Source organism: Homo sapiens, chromosome 17, assembly GCF_000001405.40.
Source record: "Homo sapiens chromosome 17, GRCh38.p14 Primary Assembly".
NCBI classification, from domain to species: Eukaryota; Metazoa; Chordata; class Mammalia; order Primates; family Hominidae; genus Homo; species Homo sapiens.
In genome coordinates this window covers 76845168-76867606 of record NC_000017.11, presented here as the reverse complement: position 1 = coordinate 76867606, position 22439 = coordinate 76845168, and the positions used below count along the sequence as shown (strand labels likewise).

Here is a 22439-nt window from a genome sequence, read left to right as displayed (position 1 = left end):
GTCTTCCCAGCTCAGGCCACGATGCTGCAGCCTGGCTTATGCGAGGAGGAGACTTTATTTTCCTCCAGCTGGGCCTGGTCCCCTCCAATCCCCCATACCCAGGCCCCTTGCTGCCTGCCCTGCCCACCTCCCGGCCCCCTTCCTGGGCCATTACTCACTGGCCATGACTCACGCTCTCTGCTTTGCTGCTCCTTCTTCATCAAAATTTACCGGTGCTGAGTTCCATTATCTCACTGCCTTGCTCTCTGCTAATGTGAAAATGGGTGATAAATTGGTGTTAGCAGATATAATGTGTTACACAGGCTAGGTAACAAATTTGCATTGAACAAGGACATGCTGACCGTGCCTTTGTGCAGAAGAGTGATGAATGGTGGCCGGAAATTTGGGCATCGTGGCAGGCTGGCTAAGGAGATGTTGGAGGGCAGAGGTCTCTGCCAGGCCTGTAAATCACATCTCATGCCTGGGTGCCTACATCTGCCACAAATCCTGGCAATAAGCCATATCTACACTAAGGAATGAAATGGTCCTTCTGATTAGGTGTCTCTCTTCTGATTGGGGGTTCTTCTGATTGAGTAGGCTTAGGGGGTGGCATTTATATCTGGTTGCCATTTTAGGCCAAAGGGGAAGCCTCTTCCTCAGTGGTGGAGATGGGGTTCCCTAGAAGGCATGGCCACCTCTGGTGTGGGTCATCTGGGGAGGTGGCCTACCCTCCACAGAAGCCAGAATTTAGAAGGTAGGGGAAGGTACTCCCCTCTTCCCCTGGGCCACACACCCTTAGATCTGGACTTTGAAGTTGGAGCGGGAAAGCCTCTCTGCCATTTGACGGCTGGCTTGGGCCAGGGAGGGAAGCAAGCAGAGGACAGCCAGTGACTTTTTTTTTTTTTTTTTTTTTTTTTTGAGATGGAGTCTCGCTCTGTTTCCCAGGCTGGAGTACAGTGGCGCAATCTCGGCTCACTGCAAACTCCGCCTTTTGGGTTCAAGAGATTCTTCTGCCTCAGCCTCTTGAGTAGCTGGGATTACAGGCACGTGCCACGATACCTGTAATAAATGCCTATAAAAATGCAAAATTTTTGTATTTTTAGTAGAGACAGGTTTCGCCATGTTGGCCAGGCTGCTCTCAAACTCCTGACCTCAAGTGATCCGCTTGCCTCGGCCTCCCAAAGTGCTGGTATTACAGGCATGAGCCACTATGCTGGGCCAGCCAGTGGCATTTTGCAAGCCAGATTGTCCAGCTGCCTGTCCCTTTTGAAGTCTGTCCCCTTTTTTTGGCCTCTTGTCTGCAGTAAAGTTCAGTGTAAACAGTCCTGCTTGCTCTCCACTGTGCTGTAGGCATTAGGAGAAAAACTGTGAATCCCACATCATGCAGTCTTGGGTATAACCTCTTCATGCCTCAGTTTCCTCAACTATAAGTGGGGCTCCTTATAACCTGCTTCATAGAGCTGTTCTGAGGATTGAGCCGCTTAATGCAGGTAAGTAGCCCGTTGCCAGGACCTCCTGAGCCTTTCAAGCATGGTGGTTCTGATGGTTGTTACTGTCCGTCAGGAACAGATGCTGTTTGTGCCCAGTCCTGGTTCCCACTGCAGTCACCTCTGCAAGCTAAGAGGCAGATGACTGAGAACACCTTCAACTCTCTGCCTGAGGACTTTTTTTTAATGGCTGTGGGAATATGCTAGAACACAAAAGGGCAAGAAGAAAGGACCCTGGACAAAGGATCAACACCCTGGCAGCAGCCCTCAAGCAGTGGATAGACACCCCCACTCCCTCTTCCTAAGGGGGATACTCCGCGGCGTGTTACCCCGTGGCTCCCCAGGTTCCCAGCAAGTTTGAGCTCCAGTCACCCGTGGTGTAGCCAGCCCTGTGATGCCCCTGTGTTCACTCCCTTCCCTCCTGTCTCATTCCACTCCCCGGTCAATGTTCCTGGGGTCACCATCCAAATAAACCACTTGCAGAATCCTATTCTGAGCATCTGTTTCTGGGGGACCCACACCAAGATCCCAAGATCCTGCCTCATCGACTGGTGGTTCTCAGCCCAGATTCCAGCAGAATCACCTGCAGAATTTAGCAAAATTGTCCTTATTCTGATCCAGTACCTGAGGTGCAGCCTGGGCACGCTGGTGCATTGATGCCACAGGTTATGCCGACACAGGCAAGGTGGGGAAGCACTGTTCTAGACAAATACTTGTGGCCTCCTGAGGAGAAAGGAAAGTCTCTGGAAGCAAGCCAGAGAACAGGGGAGTAGGAACGGCGGCACCTGCTGCAGGGCCCGGCCAAGGACTGACGGTGGGCCAGGCGCCGTGACTCACGCCCGTAATCCCAGCACTTTGGGAGTCTAAGGCAGAAGGAATGCCTAAGCCAAGAGCTTGAGACAACCAGCCTGAGCAACATAGTGAGACCCCATCTCTACCAAAAACTTTAAAACTTATCCAGGTGTGGTGTCATGCACCTGTAGTCCCAGCTACGCAGGAAGCTGAGGCAGGAGGATCACTTGAGCCCAGGAGATCGAGGCCGCAGTAAGCTATGAGCGCACCACCGCACTCCAGCCTGTGTGACAGTGCGACGCCCTGTCTCTTATAAAATAATAAATAAATAAGGACTGACATCAGGTGTACCCATTTCCAAACCCCATCCCTCTTCACTGTTTCTCTCCTGAAGCTATCAACAGACCCACAACCAGCCAAATGCAGAGCAGGATGCACATTCACCCGGGTGCCCTAAATATAGCAGTTCCTGGCAGGGCGCGGTGGCTCATGCCTGTAATCTCACCACTTTGGGAGGCCAAGGCGAGTGGATCACAAGGTCAGGCATTCGAGACCAGCCTGGCTAACATAGTGAAACCCCGTCTCTACTAAAAATACAAAAAATTAGTTGGGTCTGGTGGCGGGTGACTGTAATCCCAGCTACTCAGGAGACTGAGGCAGGAGAATCGCTTGAACCTGGGAGATGGAGGCTGCAGTGAGCTGAGATCACACCACTGCACTCTAGCCTGGACCACAGTGCAAGACTCCGTCTCAAAAAAAAAAAAAAAAAAAAAAAAAGCCAGGTGCGGTGGCTCACGCCTATAATCCCAGCACTTTAGGAGGCCGAGGTGGGCAGATCATGAGGTCAGGAGTTCGAGACTAGCCTGACCAACATGGTGAAACCCCGTCTCTACTAATACAATAATCCCAGCTACTCAGGAGGCTGAGGCAGGAGAATCGCTTGAACCTGGGAGGCAGAGGTTGCAGTGAGCCGAGATTGTGCCACTGCACTCCAGCCCAGGCAACGGTGCAAGACTCCGTCTCAAAAAACAACAACAATAATAAAAAAAAGCATTTCCAGCCCCTCCCCCTGCCCCTGGGTCCTGCTGGCCTGGCTGGAGGGGTCAGAAGAAGCCCACAGTCAGCAGAATTCCCTGGCCAGGCAGTGGAGGCCTGTGTCCAAACAGGCAGAGGACTCGGGAAGGGTGCAGTGAGGTAAGTCCTGCCATTCAGAGGTCCAAACTCAAAATACTGACAGGGTGGGCCAGAAAACAAGGGAAGGGGAGTGGGGTGTTTCCCAGGCAATCGCAACAAACCACAACAACCTGCGTGGTTTAAGGCAACTGGAATTTATTTCTTCACATTCACCCTGCTCAAGGGGAGGGGCTGGAAGTGCTATATTTAGGGCACCTGGGCGAATGTGCCTCCTGCTCTGCATTTGGCTGGTTGTGGGTCTGTTGATAGCCTCAAGAAACAGTGAAAAGGGATGGGGTTTGGAAACAGGGACACCTGATGCCAGTCCTTGTTTATCTATTTGTTATTTTATAAGAAAGGGCATCGCACTGTCACACAGGCTGGAGTGCGGTGGTGCACTCATAGCTCACTGCGGCCTCGATCTCCTGGGCTCAAGCGATCCTCCTGCCTCAGCTTCCTGAAGTCCAGAAGTCTGAAATCAAGGTGTTGATACGGTCCATTTCTTCCAGGCTCTGAGAGATAAACCACCCCAGGCTTTTCTCCCAGCTCCTGGTAGCCCCAGGCAGCCCTTGGCTTGTAGCTACCTCACTCTAGTCTCTGCCTTATCTCCATCTGGCCTTCTCTGGGCGTATCTCTGTGTGCCTGAAAATCCCTCCTCTGGTAAGGACACTACTCATTGATTTAGGGCCCACCCTAATCCTACAGGACCTCATCTTAACTAGTTAAATCTGCAAAGACTCTATTTCCCAATAAGGTCAGAGTCTGAGGTTCTGGGAAGACATGGATTGGGGAAGAAACTGTTTAACCCACTACGGGGACCTAGTTCAAATGACCAGTGTGGCTAAAGACCGTCAAGGGCTGCAGCCCCCGAAGGGGACACGTCACCATTGCATTGTGTGACTGTGGGCCCAGTTATTTCAAGAGAAGCCAGAAATCTGGGCTTCTCCTGTGAAGTCGCATAATTTTAAAATGTAGGCTCAGTATTTTTAGAACATTGTGCAAGACCAATAAAATCCACCGGAAGGCCTACCATCTGGGCCCCCTGCGCGTGTCACTGGAGGGCAGAGCAGTGAGCCCACCAGCCCACCCACCTGGCAAGTCCAGCTTCCCTGAACTACCCCACCACCCTCAAGCCTCAGGCCAAGCTGCCCAGACACCTGCCTGCCCCAGCGAGGAAAGTCAACAGTCCTAGGTGCACTCTGGGGGTGGGAAGGCTGGGCTGCTTCCTAGGGACCCCTGGACCCCCTCACTGGTCCCGCTGGAGCCTCACTGGGCATCAGAGGCTCGACTGCCACTCCTACCTTCTGAAGGCTTCAAGGTTGTTTTTAGAGCTCATAGACGGGGCCTGGGGTGTGTAGAGGGAGAAGAGAAACAAGCCATTTACCATGTTTGAAATCCCCATTTAATGTGCTCCGACTGCAGCAGCACACAGCACATTACGAGGCAATAGGCCATTGTCCTTTGCCGTAGTGTGCAGCATTAATAATGTCATAACAGCATTTACTGACACCGCGTACAAATCAGCAACAGTGGCACTGCGCGGGGACAACTGGCCCTCACACACTAGCCACCTCGAGTGCAGAGGCCACGAGGTGGGGAGAGCTGCTTCTCCAATGCATATTTTATGCTTTCTGTTTCACAACATTTAGACTAATCCTCTGATTGAAAGGCAGCGTCTAGGATTTATTTTTATTTATGACAGAAGGCCATTCTACCGCACAGCTTGTGGGAGCTGCGAGCAGAGCTATTGTACTTGCCCTGTTCTGCAGGAAAGGTAACCACTGTGTCTGGGGTGTGTGTGGCCAGCCAAGCAGGCACCAACCAGACAGGCAGCCCTCCTCCTCCACATAGGCCCCATCCCAGTGCTGGAAACACAGGCGAACACTTTATCATGATCAGGAGATTCCACTTATTGAGCATCTACTATATGCCAGTGATACGGTTTGACTCTCTGTCCCTACCCAAATCTCATCTGGAATTGTAATCCCCATAATCCTCACCGTGTTGAGGGAGGAACCCCGTGGGAGGTGATTGGATCATGGAGGTGATTTCCCTCATGCTGTTTTCGAGATAGCGAGTGCGTTCTCATGAGATGTGATGGTTTTATAAGAGGCTCTTCCCCCTCATTCCTCATTCTTCTCTCTCCTGCCACCTTGTGAAGAAGATGGCTGCTTCCCCTTCCGCCCTAATTGTAAGTTTCCTGAGGCCTCCCCAGCCACATGGAACTGTGAATCAATTAAACTTCTTTCCTTCCTGAATTACCCAGTCTCAGGTAGTATCTTTATACCAGTGTGAAAACAGACTAATACAGCCAGGAAATGAACCAGGGACTCTAAATGTGTTATGTTCACATCATTATTTTATTTAGAGTTACAGGGGATTAAAAAAGTTAGCAGGGCAACTATTTTTTTAATGACACTGATATGGTTTGGATCTGTGTCCCCACTCAAATCTCATGTCGAATTGTAATCCCCACTGTTGGAGGAGGAGCCTGGTGGGAGGTGACTGGATCAGGGCGCAGAATTCCCCCTTGCTGTTCTCGTGATAGTGAGTTCTCACAAGATCCAGTTGTTTAAAAGTATGTAGCACCTCCCCACCGCCTTCCTCCTGCTCCTGCCACGAAGCCGCTGCCTGCTTCCTCTTTGCCTTCCGCTGTGACTGTAAGTTTCCTGAGGCCTCCCCAGCCATCCTTCCTGTAGTCTGTGGAATAGTGAGCCAATTAAACCTCTTTTCTTTATAAATTACTCAGTCTCCAGTGTTTCTTTATAGCAACGTGAGAAAGGACGAATACAGACCCCCTTTCTTTCTGAACAGTTTCTCTGGTTAGATCACAGATCACTGCAGAAATATGGGATCAGCAGAATCAGTCCCCAAAGATGTCCACCTCTTAATCCTCAGAACCTGTGAGAATTAGGTTGCTAACCAACTGAGTTTAAAATGCAGAGATTAGGTCAGGAGTGGTGGCTCACGCCTGTCATCCCAACACTTTGGGAGGCTTAGGTGGGCGGATCACCTGAGGTCAGGAGTTCGAGACCAGCCTGACCAACATGGAGAAACCCCATCTCTACTAAAAATACAAAAATTAGCCAGGCATGGTGGCGCATACCTGTAATCCCAGCTACTCAGGAGACTGAGGCAGGAGAATCAGTTGAACCCAGGAGGCGGAGGTGGCAGTGAGCCGAGATCATGCCATTGCACTCCAGCCTGGGCAAGAGCAAAACTCTGTCTCAAAAAAAAAAAAAAAAATGCAGAGGTTATCCTAGATTATCTGGGTGGGCCTTCAACCGAACCCAGGTTCAGCTGCTTGCCACCCAAAAGCCAGACATGAGCAGTAAGGTTGGACAGAGGAAAAGCAGGTTTATTCAGGAAGCCAGCAAAACCAGGAAGATGGTGAACTAGTGTTCAAAAGTAACAACTCCAATTTTTTAGGCTAGCCAGAGGGTTTTTGTGGCAAGGGGATATGGGGAAGAGGAGGGCATTGGGATCTAGAGGTGATGAAGGACCACAGACATCTGAACATCAGTGAGGGTCAGAAGAGGTTGAGAACTTATTTGTCCTTGGTCCGGTCACAGTGTGCCTGTAAACTGTCAATAAAACATAGCTAGTTGTTTACAGACTTCGCCTTTAATCCCAGAGTTTCAAAAACTACATGATTGCTGTTTTGCATTTTGTCTCAGTGCTCTAAAATTATCCTAGCAGACGTGCAGGAATGAGTAAAGGCCTCTTAAACACAAATGGAGGGAGTGATGTTTGTTCTTTGCTTCTTCACTGTTACAGGCCTAATGTAACCTCAAGTGCTGGAAGTCAGAAAATGACACCTCAAAATATGGCGCTTTGACATGCTAAGTACAGTCATCCCTCAGTATCCATGCAGGATTGGTTCCAGCACCCCTGCAGGTACCAAAATCTAAGGATGCTTAATTTCCTTATATCATATTTGCATGTTATCTGTACATATCCTCCCATATACCTTACAGCATCGCTAGATTACTTATAATACCTAACACAACATAAATGCTATGTAAATAGTTAATTTTTAAATGTGTGTTTTTTTTTTGGAGACCGAGTCTCGCTCTGTCGCCCAGCTCACTGCAACCTCTGCCTCCCGAGTTCAAGAGATTCTCCTGCCTCAGCTTCCCAAGTAGCTGGGATTACAGCCAGGCACCACCAGGCCTGGCTAATTTTTGTATTTTTAGTAGAGACGAGGTTTCACCATGTTGGCCAGGCTGATCTCAAACTCCTGACCTCGACTGATCCACTCGCCTCAGCCTCCCAAAGTGCTGGGATTACAGGCATGAGCTGCCATGCCTAGCCAGTATTATTTGTAAATGTTGTATTGTTATGATTGTTTTTTAATGTTTTCCATTAGCAATTGGTTGAATCTGCAGATGTGGAATGCACCGATGCAGAGGGCTGTATTTTGAACTGAAGCAGCAGCCTCAGAACGAAGGTCTCTCTGCCCTTCTCCAGTCTCCATCCTGTGTCTCCATCCTTTCTTTCCCAAAGCACAGGGAGGGGCTTTCCTGAAGCTTCCCTTATCTAAGGGAAGTTCCTCCAGAAGGAATGCAATTGTCTTGGCCCCGGAACCCACACTAACCAGAGGAGAGACTAATGCCTTTGTTCCCAGTGCAGCTCCTGCCCTCACCCTCCATTGCTGGTCGCCACCACCCTCCAGGAGCCTGTAAGCCCCTAATTCTTTCTGTAGCTCAAAATGCTATTTAAGCTTCAACCATCCGGTCCTTCTTGGAGGCGCCTACCCTGTGTGACCCCTGTGCACATGCACCTCATAAATGTGTGTCTTTCCTCCTGCTCATCTGTCTCCTGCTGAGTGCATTTTTCAGGCTCGAATACTGAACCTCCAGGAGAGAGAGAGAAGGTTCTGTCACTCCTACACAAGGATCCTTATATATAGAAGAGGGAGACAAAACAAGAGTGTCAGAGTGAGACAGCACCAGAAAGACTCCACCAGCCATTTCGCTGGCTTTGAAGGCGGAGGAAGAGGCCACAAGCCGGGGGATCCAGGCAGCCTCCAAAAGCTGGAAAAGGAAAGGAGGTAGGTTCTCCCCTAGAGCCTCTGGAAGGAACGCAGCCCGGCCAACACATTGACTTTAGCCTCTGCGAGCCCAGAAGGATCCAAGACAGGTCTCAATCCATTTAGAAAGTTCATTTTGCCAAGGTTAAGAATGTGCTCATCACACAGCCTCAGGAAGTCCTGACGACATGTGCCCAAGGAGGTCAGGGCACAGCGTGGTTTTATACATTTTAGGGAGACATGAGACATCAATCAGATACACTTAAAATATACATTGGATCAGTTCACAAGGCGGGATGACTTGAAGCAGTGGGAGGGGAGGGCTTCCAGGATATAGGTAGATTTAAATTGTTTCTCGGCCCAGCATGGTGGCTCATGCCTGTAATCCCAGCACTTTGGGAGGCCGAGGTGGGAGGATCACCTGAAGTCAGGAGTTCGAGACCAACCTGGCCAATATGGTGAAACCCCATCCCTACTAAAAATACAAAAAATTAGCTAGGTGTGGTGGTGCATGCCTGTAATCCCGGTTACTCAGGAGGCCAAGGGAGGAGAATCGCTTGAACCCAGGAGGTGGAGGGTGCAATGAGCCGAGATCACGCCATTGCACTCCAGCCTAGACAACAGAGCGAGACTCCCTCTCAGAAAAAAATAATAATAGTAAAATAATAAATTAAGAAATAAAATGTTTCTGATTGGCAATTGGTTGAAAGAGTTATTATCCGTAGAAAGGAGTGTCTGGGTTATGGTAAGAAGTTGTAGAGACCAGAGTTTTATCATGCAGATGATACCTCCAGGTAGCAGGCTTCATAGAGAGTAGATCATGAATGTTTCTTATCAGATGAAGTCTGTGTTGATGTTCAATGTTAGTCAGCTTTTCCTGAATTCCAAAAGGGAGGAGGTCATAATGAGGAGTGCCCTGGCCAAGAGGAGGGAGTCCATTCAGATGGTTGGGGGGATCTTCGAATTTTATTTTATTAATTTTTGTTTTTGTTTTTGTTTTTTTGAGATGGAGTCTCGCTGTGTCGCCCAGGCTGGAGTGCAGTGGTGCGATCTCAGCTCACTGCAAGCTCCGCCTCCTGGGTTCATGCCATTCGCCTGCCTCAGCTCCCAAGTAGCGCCGCTACCACGCCTGGCTAATTTTTTCTATTTTTAGTAGAGACAGGGTTTCACCGTGTTTGCCACAATGGTCTCGATCTCCTGACCTCGTGATCCGCCCACCTCGGCCTCCCAAAGTGCTGAGATTACAGGTGTGAGCCACCGCGCCCAGCCAGAATTTTATTTTTGATTTACACCTTCAAGGGACCATTTTGGACCTCCAACCTCCAGAACTGTAAGATGATAAATCCGTGTTGTTTTAAGCTGTGAAGTGTGTGGTGACAGCAGGCATAGGAAACTGACACATGCAATCCTGTTAGAGCTGCTGTGTCCAGGCACTGTGACGCCCAGTGCTCCCCATGTGTGAGCTCATATCCCCATTAACAGATGAGGGAAACTGAGGCTCGGAGCGGTGAAACATCTTGTCCAAGGGCTCACCACTGATCCAAATGCAAACTCAGGCCCAGTAGACCTCAGAGCCCACGAACTTACCTTCTGTCCCTTGCTGGACTCAAAACCCTGGGCCAGGAGTCCCAGGGGCAGGCATGAGCAGGCATGGCCCTGGGAAGTTCAGGCCCCAGGAAAAGGGCTCCCTCCCAGAGATGCAGGTGCCACATGAGGAGGGGCTGACACAGCAGGCCACCAGGCACAGAGGTGCTTCTCCACCCAGCTGCCTCGGTTTCCTCCTCCTGCTCCCTGAACGCCCCCGGATCGTCTCAAAAGAGCGGTGGCCCAAAGACACCTCCTGCTCTGGTTGTGATCCGGGCGAGGGTGCTGCAGGATCTCAGGCCGTGGCGGAGGTGCCTCCCAAGACCACCTTGAAATCCGTCCCTGTCTAGCAAGATTTTATGGTGTCCAGTTCCAGGTGGGAGCTTGCCACACTGAGACAGCCATGACCTTCCCATCTTCAACAGAAGGGAAGTAGATGGGGGGTGTGGCAGATGGACCCCTTTGTTGGTCCATCTCTGCTCCAGCCTCCATGGCTGTATAGAGGATGCCGTGGGAGAGCCGTGGCCCCTGCTTTGTCCTCTGAGAGATTTGAGGAGAAGGTGGGGATGGACACATGCACCCCCTCAAGCTAGGAGGAGGAATTTAATCTATTGCCCACTGAGGCCTCCCAAGTGTCCCAAACAGCATCTAACATGAGCCGCATGTGACATGAGCCGCATTTGACAGAGGGGTTTTCACTGAATGGATGAATGAGTGTGGGGACGAGGCAGGGGACGGTGGGGATTCAAAGGACCCCAGTCCCTAAGCCCAGCCCGACATGGTGGTCAGCCAAGGCTGTTTCCTTCCACCTTGCCCTCTGTGCCCACTGCACTGTGCATGCCCCCTCTTCTCGTGAACCATTCACCCCACACCTCCAGCCCATGCCAGGCAAAGAGTGTCTGCCTCACACCGCCTCCTACTCTCCATGTTCCTCCACCGGCTCCTCTGTGCAGCTCCCTGACACTGAACATCACCGTAGGGGCAGCTTCCCGAAACTTCCCGATTCATCTCAGACTCTTCTCAGCCTGCATTTCATCATCCACTAGGTGTTCATCCACACAGCCACCCCCAGGGCCGGCCCAGCCCCTTTCCCTGCCTGTCAGGGACAGGTAGCACATGGGGTGAGGGTCTCGCCTGGGCAACCCTGGAAGCACAGCGGTGCCTGCAAGATGGGCCAGGCTCTTCTCAGCTTCCTCGCTCACTGTGAGACCCCGGAGCCCAATGGGCCTTGAGTCCTGCCTCCCCTTCCCGATCCAGACCTTGGCAAATCACCCTCCAAGCCTCAGTTTCCTCACCTCCAAATTGAAGATCGCACCTGCGGACTTCTCATGGGGCCTGACACAGAGCTGGCTTCTGTTTGTGGCTTATGTGTCTACTAAATTATAAGCTCCTGAGGACGAGATTCAGGCACAGAGAAACAAAATCATTTTATCATTAGCTTCCATTTCTTTAACACCCACCTTGTACCAGGCAAACATCTCATCAGTTCATACAAATAACCATGTGAGAGCCTGATCCTGTCTTATAGGCAAACACTGAGGCCCAAAAAATGAAGTAACTTCACGGCTAAGTGCATCTCCAAGAGAAATGAAAACACATATCCACATAGGAGCTTGTACATGCATGTTCATAGCAGCATGACTCTCTCTTTTTTTCTTTTTTTTTAGATGGAGTTTTGCTCTTTTGCCCAGGCTGGAGTGCAATGGCATGATCTCTGCTCACTGCAACCTCTGCCTCCCGGGTTCAAGTGATTCTCCTGCCTCAGCCTCCCAAGTAGCTGGGATTACAGGCATGTGCCACCATGCCCGGCTAATTTTGTATTTCTAGTAGAAACGGGGTTTCTCCATGTTGGTCAGGTGGTCTTGAAGTCCTGACCTCAGGTGATCCGCCCGCCTCAGCCTCCCAAAGTGCTGGGATTACAGGCATGAGCCACCGCGCCGGGCCAGCATCACAACTCTTAACCAAAAAGTGGAAGTAATTCAAGTTTTTCATCAATGGATGCATGAATAAACAAAACGTGATTTATCCATGTGATGAAATATTATTCAGCCTTAAAAAGGAATTATTCTCAAAAAAACTAAAATAGAATTACCATATGATTCAGCAATTCTACTTCTAGGTATAAACCCAAAAGAGTTGCAACTAGAGTCTCAAAGAGGTATCTCTTCACCCATGTTCATACAGCGTTACTCACAACAGCCAAAGGGGGAAACAACCCAAGTGTCCATCAGCAAATGAAGAAATAAACAAACTGTGGTATGTCCCTACAGTGGAATATTATTCAGCCTTAAAAAGGAAGGAATTTGGCCGGGCATGGTGGCTCACGCCTGTAATCCCAACACTTTGGGAGACCAAGGCAGGTGGATCCCAAGGTCAGGAGATCAAGAACATCCTGGCTAACATGGTGAAACCCTGTCTCTACTAAAAATACAAAAAATTAGCTGGGCATGGTGGCACACGCCTGTAATCCCAGCTACTCGGGAGGCTGAGGCAGGAGAATTGCTTGAACCCAGAAGGTAGAGGTTGCAATAAGCCAAGATCACACCACTGCATTCCAGCCTGGGCAACAGAGTGAGACTCCATCTCAAAAAAAAAAAAAAAAGGAAGGAATTTATGTCTGGGTGCGGTGGCTCATGCCTGTAATTCCAGCACTTTAGCACTTTAGGAGGCCAAGGCAGGCAGATCACCTGAGGTCAGTAGTTCGAGACCAGCCTGACCAATATGGTGAAACCCTGTCTGTACTAAAAATACAAAAATTAGCCAGGTGTGCTGGAGTGCACCTGTAGTCCCAGCTACACAGGAGGCTGAGACAGGAGAATTGCTTGAACCAGGGAGGCGGAGGTTGCAGTTGAGTCCATATTGTGCCACTGCACTCAAGCCTGGGCGACAGAGCGAGACCATGTCTCTGCCTCAAAAAAAAAAAAGGGAATTTCTGACACATGCTGCAACATAGACAAACCTTCAAACCTTGAAGACATTATGCTGAGTGAAATAAGTCATGCACAAAAAGACAAATACTATGGGATTCCACTTATATGAGGTTCCAAAATAGTCAAACTCAGGGAGAAAGAAAGTAGAACGAGGGTTCCCAAGGGCTAGAGGGAGGAGAGAATGCAGAGTGGTTTGTTGGGTATAGAGTTTTGTGGGGTTTTTTCATTTTGTTTTGTTTTGAGACAGGGTCTCTCTCTCTCTCTCTCTGTTGCCCAGGTTGGAGTGCAAATGGCATGATCACAGCTCACTGTAGCCTTGAACTTCTGGGCTCAAGCTATCCTCCTTCCTTAGCCTCTCAAGTAGCTGGGGCTACAGGCATGCACCATCATGCTCAGCTAATGTTTTTAAAAAAATTTTTAGAGGGGTCTCTTTATATTGCCCAGGCTGCTCTCCAACTCCTGGACTCAAGTGATCCTCCCACTTCAGCTTCCCAAAATGCTGGCATTACAAGCATGAGTCACGGTGCCCAGCCCGGTTTTACGAGATGAAAGAGTTATGAAGATGGATGGTGGTGATGATCACATAGTAATATTTAGTACTTAACACTACTAAACTGTACACACAAAAATGATTAAGATGAGGCCAGCCACAGTGGCTCACACCTGTAATCCCAGCACTTTGGGAGGCTGAGGTGGGTGGATACCCTAAGGTCAGAAGTTTGAGACCAGCCTGACCAACATGGTAAAACCCCATCTCTACTAAAAATGCAAAAATTAGCCGGGCATGGTGGCACAAGCCTATAATCCCAGCTACCCAGGAGGCTGAGGCAGGAGAATCGCTTGCACCAGGGAGGCGGGGGTTGCAGTGAGCCAAGACCACTTCATTGCACCCCAGCCTGGGAGACAAGAGCAAAACTGCAACTTAAAAAAAAAAAAAAAAGATTAAGATGGCTGGGCACGGTGGCTCATGCCTATAATCCCAGCACTTTGGGAGGCTCAGGCAGGAGATCAGCCTGGACAGCAGAGGGAGACCCCATCTCTACAAAAAATTTTTAAAAATTAGCCAGGCATGGTGGCTGTTGTCCCAGCTACTCGGGAGGTGGAGGTGGGAGGATGGCTTGAGCCCAGGAGTTTGAGGCTGCAGTGAGCCATGATGGCACCACTGCACTCCAGCCTGGGTGACAGAGCAAGACCACATCTTAAAAAAAAAAAAAAAAAAAAAAATTAAGATGGTAATTTTATCTTACGTGTATTTTGCCACATTTAAATTTTTAAAGGAATGAAATACTAATATGTGCTACAATGTGAATGAATCTTGAAAACATTACGCGGGGTGAAAGAAGTCAAACACAAAAGGGCAAATATTGCAGATTCCATCTACATGAAATGTCCAGATAGGCAAAGCCATAGAACCTGAAAGCAGATTCATGGTTCCAGGGCCTAGGGGCAGGGGGAATGGAGGATAACCACTAAAGGGTACGGGGTTTCTCTTGGGGATTCATATGGTTTGGCTGTGTCCCACCCAGATTTCATCTTGAATTGTAACTCCCACAATTCCCACGTGTCGTGGGACGAATCCAGTAGGAGGTGATTGAATCACGGGGGCGGGTCTTTCCCGTGCTGTTCTCGTGATAGTGAATGAGTCTCACAAGATCTGATGGTTTTATTTTTTATTTTTAATTATTTTGAGATGGAATTTTGCTCTTTTTGCCCAGGCTGGAATGCAGTGGCATGATCTCAGCTCACTGTAACCTCTTCCTCCCAGGTTCAAGTGATTCTCCTGCTTCAGCCTCCTGAGTAGCTGGGATTACAAACATACACCATCACAATGGGCTAATTTTTTTGTATTTTTAGTAGAGACTGGGTTTCACCATGTTGGCCAGACTGGTCTCAAACTCCTGACCTCAGGTGATCCGCTCACCTCAGCCTCCCAAAGTGCTGGGATTATAGGCATACGCCACCACGCCAGGCCAATCTGTTGGTTTTAAAAAGAGGAGTTTCCTTGCACAAGCTCTCTCTTTGCCTGCTGCCATCCACGTAAGATGTGGCTTGCTCCTCCTAGTCTTCCACCATGGCTGTGAGGCCTCCCCAGCCATGTGGAACTGTAAGTCCAATAAACCTCTTTCTTTTGTAAATTGCCCAGTCTCAGGTATGTCTTTATCAGCAGGGTGAAAACGGACTAATGCAGGGGTGATGGAAATGTTTTAACTGGAAAGTGACGTTTGCACAATGGTGAATATACTAAGAATTTATAAATATACTAAAAACTACTGAATTGTACACTCTAAAGGGGTGAATTTTATGTGAATTATATCCCAGTTTTTTTTTTTTTTTAATGAAGTAACTTGCCCATGATTATGCAATTAGTAAGGAGAGTCGGGATTTGAACCCAGACTCCCTGGCTGCCCTGTGCTCTGATATCTTACAGACATGGTGTGTTTGTTAACATGGAGGACCAGCACTGAATAAATGTCGCATCTCTGATGAGAGCTTAATAAAGAGAAAACACTTAAGGAAGAAAGACTCGAACCCATCCTCGGATTCCCACGGTGAAGACAGCCCTCATTACTGCAAGCCACCAAACCCTCCCAAGGGCCTCTGACATATTATTTTGGGCACTTAAACCTTTCCTTCTAGAATATGGGTCATAAGCCCTTTCTCTCCCCCATCTTCTCTCCTCTGACTGATGACAAAGAATCTTAATTAAGTGTCCCTTGGCTGCTGGTTTAATTTGATAAATATAAAATTGAAGCATGCTAATAAAGCCATCCATCATCCCAGATCTCAGCAGTTCTTTGAGCTGAAGGCTCTACTTTTTTTTTCCCTAAGTCAATTTTTAGGATGATAATGAATTGGGTCTTGTTCAGGAATATCAGAGAACACAGGGACTCAGTGAGATGTCAGTGGGGGCTGCTGGAGACCCAGGAAATGGGAACATCTCCAGGGACCTCTGCTCCCGTTCTCCCGAACTCTCTCTCTCTCTTTTTAAATTTTTTTCTTGAGACAGAGTTTCGCTCTGTCGCCCAGGCTGAAGTGCAATGGTGCGATCTCAGCTCACTGCAACCTCCACCTCCTGGGTTCAATTGATTCTCCTGCCTCAGCCTCCTGAGTAGCTGGGATTACAGGCACCCGCCACCACACCCGACTAATTTTTGTTTTTGTTTGTTTGTTTTTTGTTGTTGTTTTTGAGACAGAGTCTCACGCTGTCGCCCAGGCTGGAGTGCAGTGGCGTGATCTCGGCTCACTGCAACCTCTGCCTCCCAGGTTCAAGTAATTCTCCTGTCTCAGCCTCCCGAGTAGCTGGGACTACAGGCGCCCGCCACCACGCCTAGCTAATTTTTGTATTTTTAGTAGAGACGGGGTTTCACCATATTGGTCAGGCTGGTCTCGAACTCCTGACCTCAGGTGACCCACCCACCTCAGCCTCCCAAAGTGCTGGGATTACAGGCATGAGCCACCGCACCCAGCCTAATTTTTGTATTTTTAATAGAGATGGGATTTCACCATGTTGGCCAGGTTGGTCTTGAACTCCAGACCTCAGGTGATCTGCCCGCCTCAGCCTCCCAAAGTGCTGGGATTACAGGTATGAGCCACTGCGCCTGGCCCCTGCCCCCAAACTCTTACAGAACCCCATAATGCCCACCCCGCCCCTCCTCTCTGCACCTTCCCCCCACCTACCCCACCTTGTGGCCCATCCCCCGCCTCCGCACCTGGCCCCAACCCCTCTGCCTGTTCCTCTAACTGCCAAGCCCAAGTTCTTATCAGGTGCCTCTCCCACCTCCTCACTCAGCTTCTAAAACTGCCCCCCTCTTAGTTCCACTCTCTCACTCCATGGAGTAGAAGGCATTTTGTGTGACTTGCAAGTCTCAGAGAAGCCAGGCCCAGCTCCTGGGCTGTGCTCAGCCCCACCGGGGGCACCTGAGCCCCAGGCATAGCTCGTCCAGCCCTAGACTTACCCTTGGCCGGCCGAGCTCAACAGCCTTGGGCGGTAGGATGTCCTGACTGTCCTTAGCGGCTCTTGCCTTGAAGGAAGAGTTGAGGCAACACAGGTAGGGACCACTCCGACATGTAGGGGCTGCCCTCCAAGCTCCCTGTCCTGAGTTGTCCAAACTTCTGTCTGCCTCAGGGCTGCTGGCTGTCCAGGGACCCGGATGCTCAGCATCATTCTCTTCCAAAAGGCCCCTCCTTGGTTTCCTGACAATCCGGCCTGTGATATTTGAAGCACGCAGAAATACCACTTGCGCATGGTTGAGAAAAAGGTCATCGCCTCACACTGAGTGCGTGGTCAGCTCGCGCTGCGGTAACAGATCAAAGACCAGGGGCTTAAACAATGGGCATCGCTTTCTCACAGGTCTGGCAGCCGCAAGCCCAGGATCAAGGTGTTGGCGGATCTGAAGGCTACTGAACGATTGTCTTCCTGGCTTGTAGGCGGCCTCTCCTTGTTGTATCCTTACTGGTGGAGAGCGGAGCGGAAGCAAGCTCTCTCTTGTCTTTTTATAGGGGCTTTCATCCATCTACACGGGCTCCACCCTTTTGACCTAATTACCTCCCCAAGGCCCCATATTCAAATACCGTCACACCAGTTGAGGTTTCAACATATGAACTTGGCAGGGGCAGAAGGCAAACATTTCAGCCATAGCCCTGAGCTAACCCTAAGACTCCCCAGCATAGCGGGGAGGTTGCAGTGAGCTGAGATCACGCCACTGCACTCCAGCCTGGGCAACAGAGCAAGACTCTGTCTCAAAAAAAAAAAAAAAAAAAAATGATTCCCCAGCGTATTATCTTATGTAAAAGCACAGACTTTGGATCAGACAGCCCTGGGTGCACATCTCAGCACTGCCGCTTACAGATTGCCTGGGCTGGAGCACCTCTCCTGCCTGGCTGGGCTTGGCCTCCTCAACCATATAGATGACATACATCATAAGGCTGGGCTCAGCTGCTCACACTTGGAATCTCAGCACTTTGGAAGGCCAAGGTGGGAAGATCGCTGGAATCCAGGCATTCGAGACCACCCTGGGCAACATGGCAAAATAAAAAATACAAAAATTAGCCAGGTGTGGTGGCGTGCACCTGTGGTCCCAGTTCCTAGGGAGGCTGAGGTGGGAGGATCACTTGAGACTCACTGCAGGACTTCGAGACTGCAGTGAGCCATGATTGTGCCACTGCACTCCAGCCTGGGTGATGGAGCAAGACTCTGTCTCTAAATAAGTAAATGAATGATGTCATAAGATCACATCCTCCAGCCGGGCGCGGTGGCTCACACCTATAATCCCAGCACTTTAAGAGGCCGAGGTGGGCAGATCACCTGAGGTCAGGAGTTCAAGACCAGGCTGACCAACATGGAGAAACTCAATCTCTACTAAAAATACAAAAATTAGCTGGGCGTGGTGGCGGATGCCTGTAAGCCTGGCTGAGGCAGGAGAATTTCTTGAACCTGGGAGGCGGAGGTTGCAGTGAGCCGAGATCGCGCCATTGCACTCCAGTTTGGGTGACAGAGCAAAACTCCATCTCAAAAAAAAAAAAGTATCTCCCCCCTCGGGCCACGGTGAGGACTGTGGGGCACTCAGCGGGGCCTGCACATATAGCTTTCAGGATTAATATCTCACAGGGGAGCCCCAAGGCTCTGGCGCCTTCTCTCTTCCTCCTCAGCTAAAACCAAAGGCTTGACAGCCACCAAGATCTGTCCTCCGGGTGCTGAGGCCCCGCTTCTCCTTCTAATTTGGTTGTTTTATCAACCAAGTCCAGAGTCGTCCTCAGGCCTAATGGGTAGAGATAAGAATATTCTTCATTCCTGTTTCTTAGAGAAAGCAGACACTGCCTGGAGGGACCCGAAGTAGATGGGCTTGCAGTTGGCTCCCCGGGTGACACTGATGCTTCCCTCAGTGCAAGCCATCTGTGAGCAGCGCAGTCTGGAGATGCTGCAGGCCTGAGGTTAATGGCAGACTCTGTCATTTCCTTGTACATTCTACAACTGCAGTTATTTGTAAGACACGGGTGGGAGTTTGCCCCTAAGTGCTATTTTGGTTGATTGCTGGTTAGGCGTATATATGGTGCATCACGGCATTTAATTGGCATGATGGTGCGCACTGTTGACGTACCCCCTTTGATGTCTGGAACCTGGGAAAGCCAGGGACCAACCAGGTCAATGAGTGGAGACATGGAGCCCCAGTGTGCGCTTGGCCAGGGCACCTAGAACTCCAGTCCCTCTAGAGCTCACGGTAATTATGGACAGGGAACTTCCCCGAGCTGAACCTTACCAGAGCATACTCTATTTCTTGTTTAAAAAAAAAAATCAAGGAGAAATTCACATAACATAAAATTAACCATTTAAAAATATACAATTCGGCCAGGGGCAGTGGCTCACACCTGTAATCCCAGCACTTTGGGAGGCCGAGGCGGGTGGATCACCTCAGGTCAGGAGTTCGAGACCAGCCTGGCCAACATGGTGAAACCCTGTCTCTACTAAAAATACAAAAATTAGCCAGGCGTGGTGACATGCACCTGTATCCCAGCTATTCAGGAGGCTGAGGCGGGAGAATCACTTGAACCCCGGGGTGGAGGTTACAGCAAATCGAGATCACGCCTACTTCACTCCAGCCTGGGAGAAAGAGCGAAAGTCCGTCTTGAAAAAAATAAATTAAATAAAATATACAATTCAGTAGCATTTAGTACATTCACTTTTTTTTGTGCAACCACCACTTCTATCTCCAAAACATTTCATCACCCCAGAGGAAGACTCCATTCCCACTAAGCAGCCACCCCTCATTCTCCCCTCCCCCAAGCCCCTGGGGACCACTAACCTGCTTTCTGTCTCTATGATTTACCAATTTGGGATATCTCACATACATGAGATTATAAAATATGCGCTCTTTTATGCAGTTTTCTTCTTTTTTTCTTTGAGACAGGGTCTTGCTCTGTCATCCATGCTGGAGTACAATGGCATGATCACGGCTCACTGCAGCCTTCACCTCCTGGGTGCAAATGATCCTCCTACCCCAGCCTCCCAAGTAGTTGGGACCACAGGCATCCACCATCCAGCCTGGCTAATTTTTTTTTTTTTTTTTTTTGGAAAGACGAGGTTTTCCTATGTTGCCCAGGCTGGTCTCAAACTCTTGAGCTCCAGCAATCCTTCCTTGGCCTTCCAATATGATGGGATTACAGACATGAGCCACCCATGCCCGGCCTTTTGTGTAATGTTGTAAAGGTTCATCTACATCGTAACAGATATTAGAACTTCATTCCTTTTTATGACTAAATATTTCATGGTATGGCTACACCACATTTTGTTTATCCATTCATCAGATGATGGACATTTGGGTTGTTTCCACCTTTTGACTACTGTGAATAATGATGCCCTGATTCTCCACCACCACCTACTCCTTCTCCTCCCCCTCCTCCCCTTGTTCTCCTCCTCCTCCTCTTCATTTTTCTCCTTCTCCTTCTTATGATTATTCTTATTTCTCTCCCTCGTCCTCATCTCCTTCCTCTTCCTCCTCATCTCCTTCCTCTTCCTCCTCTTCTTCTTTTAGTTAAAAATTTTGGCTGGGTTAAATAGCTCATTTGTAATCCCAGCACTTCAGGAGGCAGAGGTGGGAAGATTGCTTGAGCCCAGGAGCTCAAGACCAGCCTGGGCAATGTAGTGAGACTCCCATCTCTACAAAAACTCTAAAACTTAGCCAGGCATAGTAGCATGTGACTGTAGTCACAGCTACTGAGGAGGCTGAGGTGGGAGGATCACTTGAGCCTGGGAGGTTGAGGCTGCAGTGAGCTTCGATCACACCATTGCACTCCAGCCTGAGCGACAGAGTGAGACCCTGTCTTAAAAAATAATAGAAAAATAATTTTGTTTGAAAAAGTAATACTTGTACACAGTACAAAATTTAAAGGGCTCTCACAGAGCATATGGTGAATTGTCTCTTTTCCACACCTGCCCCTCACAGCCATCCAGTTCCCCTCCATGGAGTCAACCTTGGCACCAGTTTCTTGTACCTTCCTGTATCCTTAGTACTGTTTGTAATGTGCGGCAACAGACACTAACACAGGCACTTCCTGCTCTGTGGGTTGAATGGTTGTGGAAAGCATCTGGAAGAGCTGTTCAGTTAGAAAGAGTTCATTCTCTCCCTGGCTAGAACCCCCCCTCAAGAAACAATCCAAGCCTCAAGTTAAGACCCATTATGGAGGTGTTAGGAAAATTTATCCAGAGTGGTAGAAATGGTATGAACACAGCAATAAATTAAGAGTCAGTTGTGGCCAGGCTCAGTGGCTCATGCCTGTAATCCCAGCACTTTGGGAGGCGGAGGTAGGTGGATCATCTGAGGTCGGAGTTCAAGACCAGCCTGGCCAACATGGTGAAACCCTGTCTCTACTAAAAATACAAAAATTAGCCAGGCATTGTGGTGGGTGCCTATAATCCCAGCTATTTGGGAGGCTGAGACAGGAGAATCACTTAAACCCAGGAGGCAGAGGTTGCAGTGAGCCGAGATTGTGCCACTGCACTCCAGCCTGGGCAACAAAGAGCGAAACTCCATCTCAAAAAAATAAAAATAAAATAAATTAAGTCAGTTGTAAAGATGCAAAGACTAATTAGCAGAGGGAGAGGCTCTTCAAAACAGGCACGGAGAGCCCCACTCAACAGCTGTGCCTTAAGTACGATGGGAGGTCCCCACGGGAGGGAGGGAGGAAGCCAAGGGTCGCAGCTGGAAGAAAAGTGAGCTAAGAGGAAAGCAACCCCATAGCTGATCATTTATTTGGGAGAGCCGGGCCAGGTCCTGACTGAGAAAAGACCTCATGGACTTGAGGCCCAGTGCTGCTATCTTTAAAACAGTCCACCCGTGAGGTCAGCTCTGAGCTGGCTTCTGGGAACTTGGCACTTGAACCACTCCTCCATTCCCTGGCTGATAAGGGTGACTCACTGTGCCTAGCCTGTGTATGCAAACAATATGGGTTAGGATAAATAACTGCTTTTTTTCTTTTCTTCATTTATTTATTTATTTTTGAGACAGGGTCTTGCTCTGTTGCCCAGGCTGGAGTGCAGTGGTGTAATCTTGGCTCACTGCAACCTCCACCTCCCAGGCTCAAGTGATCCTCCACCTCCTGAGTAGCTGGGACCACAGGTGCATGCCCCCATCCTGGGCTAATTTTTTTATTTTATTTTTGTACAGATTGGGTCTTGTTATGTTACCCAGGCTGGTCTAGAACTCCTGAGCTTAAGCAAGCCTCCTGCCTCAACCTCCCAAAGTGCTAGGATTACAGGCATGAGCCATTGAACCTGGCCCAACACCTGCTTTTCTTATGGGAGAGTTTTTTTTTAAAGTTGCTCAGTAGGGATTGCCTATGTGACCAGCCCTCAGTAAAAACCTTGGGTTCTGAGTCTCTAAGGGGTATCCCTGGGCAGACATATTGCACATGTGTTTCTCTCGGCTGGGGAAGGAGCATGCTCTGTGAGCGCCCTCGAGGGAAGGA

General features: G+C 49.4%; 1 long non-coding RNA gene across 2 annotated transcripts; it reads right to left on the bottom strand.

Annotated features, from left to right (window-relative positions):
- On the bottom strand, window positions 5771-11441 carry LINC00868 (long intergenic non-protein coding RNA 868). 2 transcript variants are annotated; one of them, NR_135283.1, is made up of 3 exons: window positions 11343-11441; window positions 9252-9340; window positions 5771-6131 (listed from the first exon to the last, which is right to left on the bottom strand). It is a non-coding gene; the product is annotated as a long intergenic non-protein coding RNA 868 (long non-coding RNA). The 2 variants fall into 2 exon arrangements; NR_135284.1 differs by lacking the exon at window positions 9252-9340.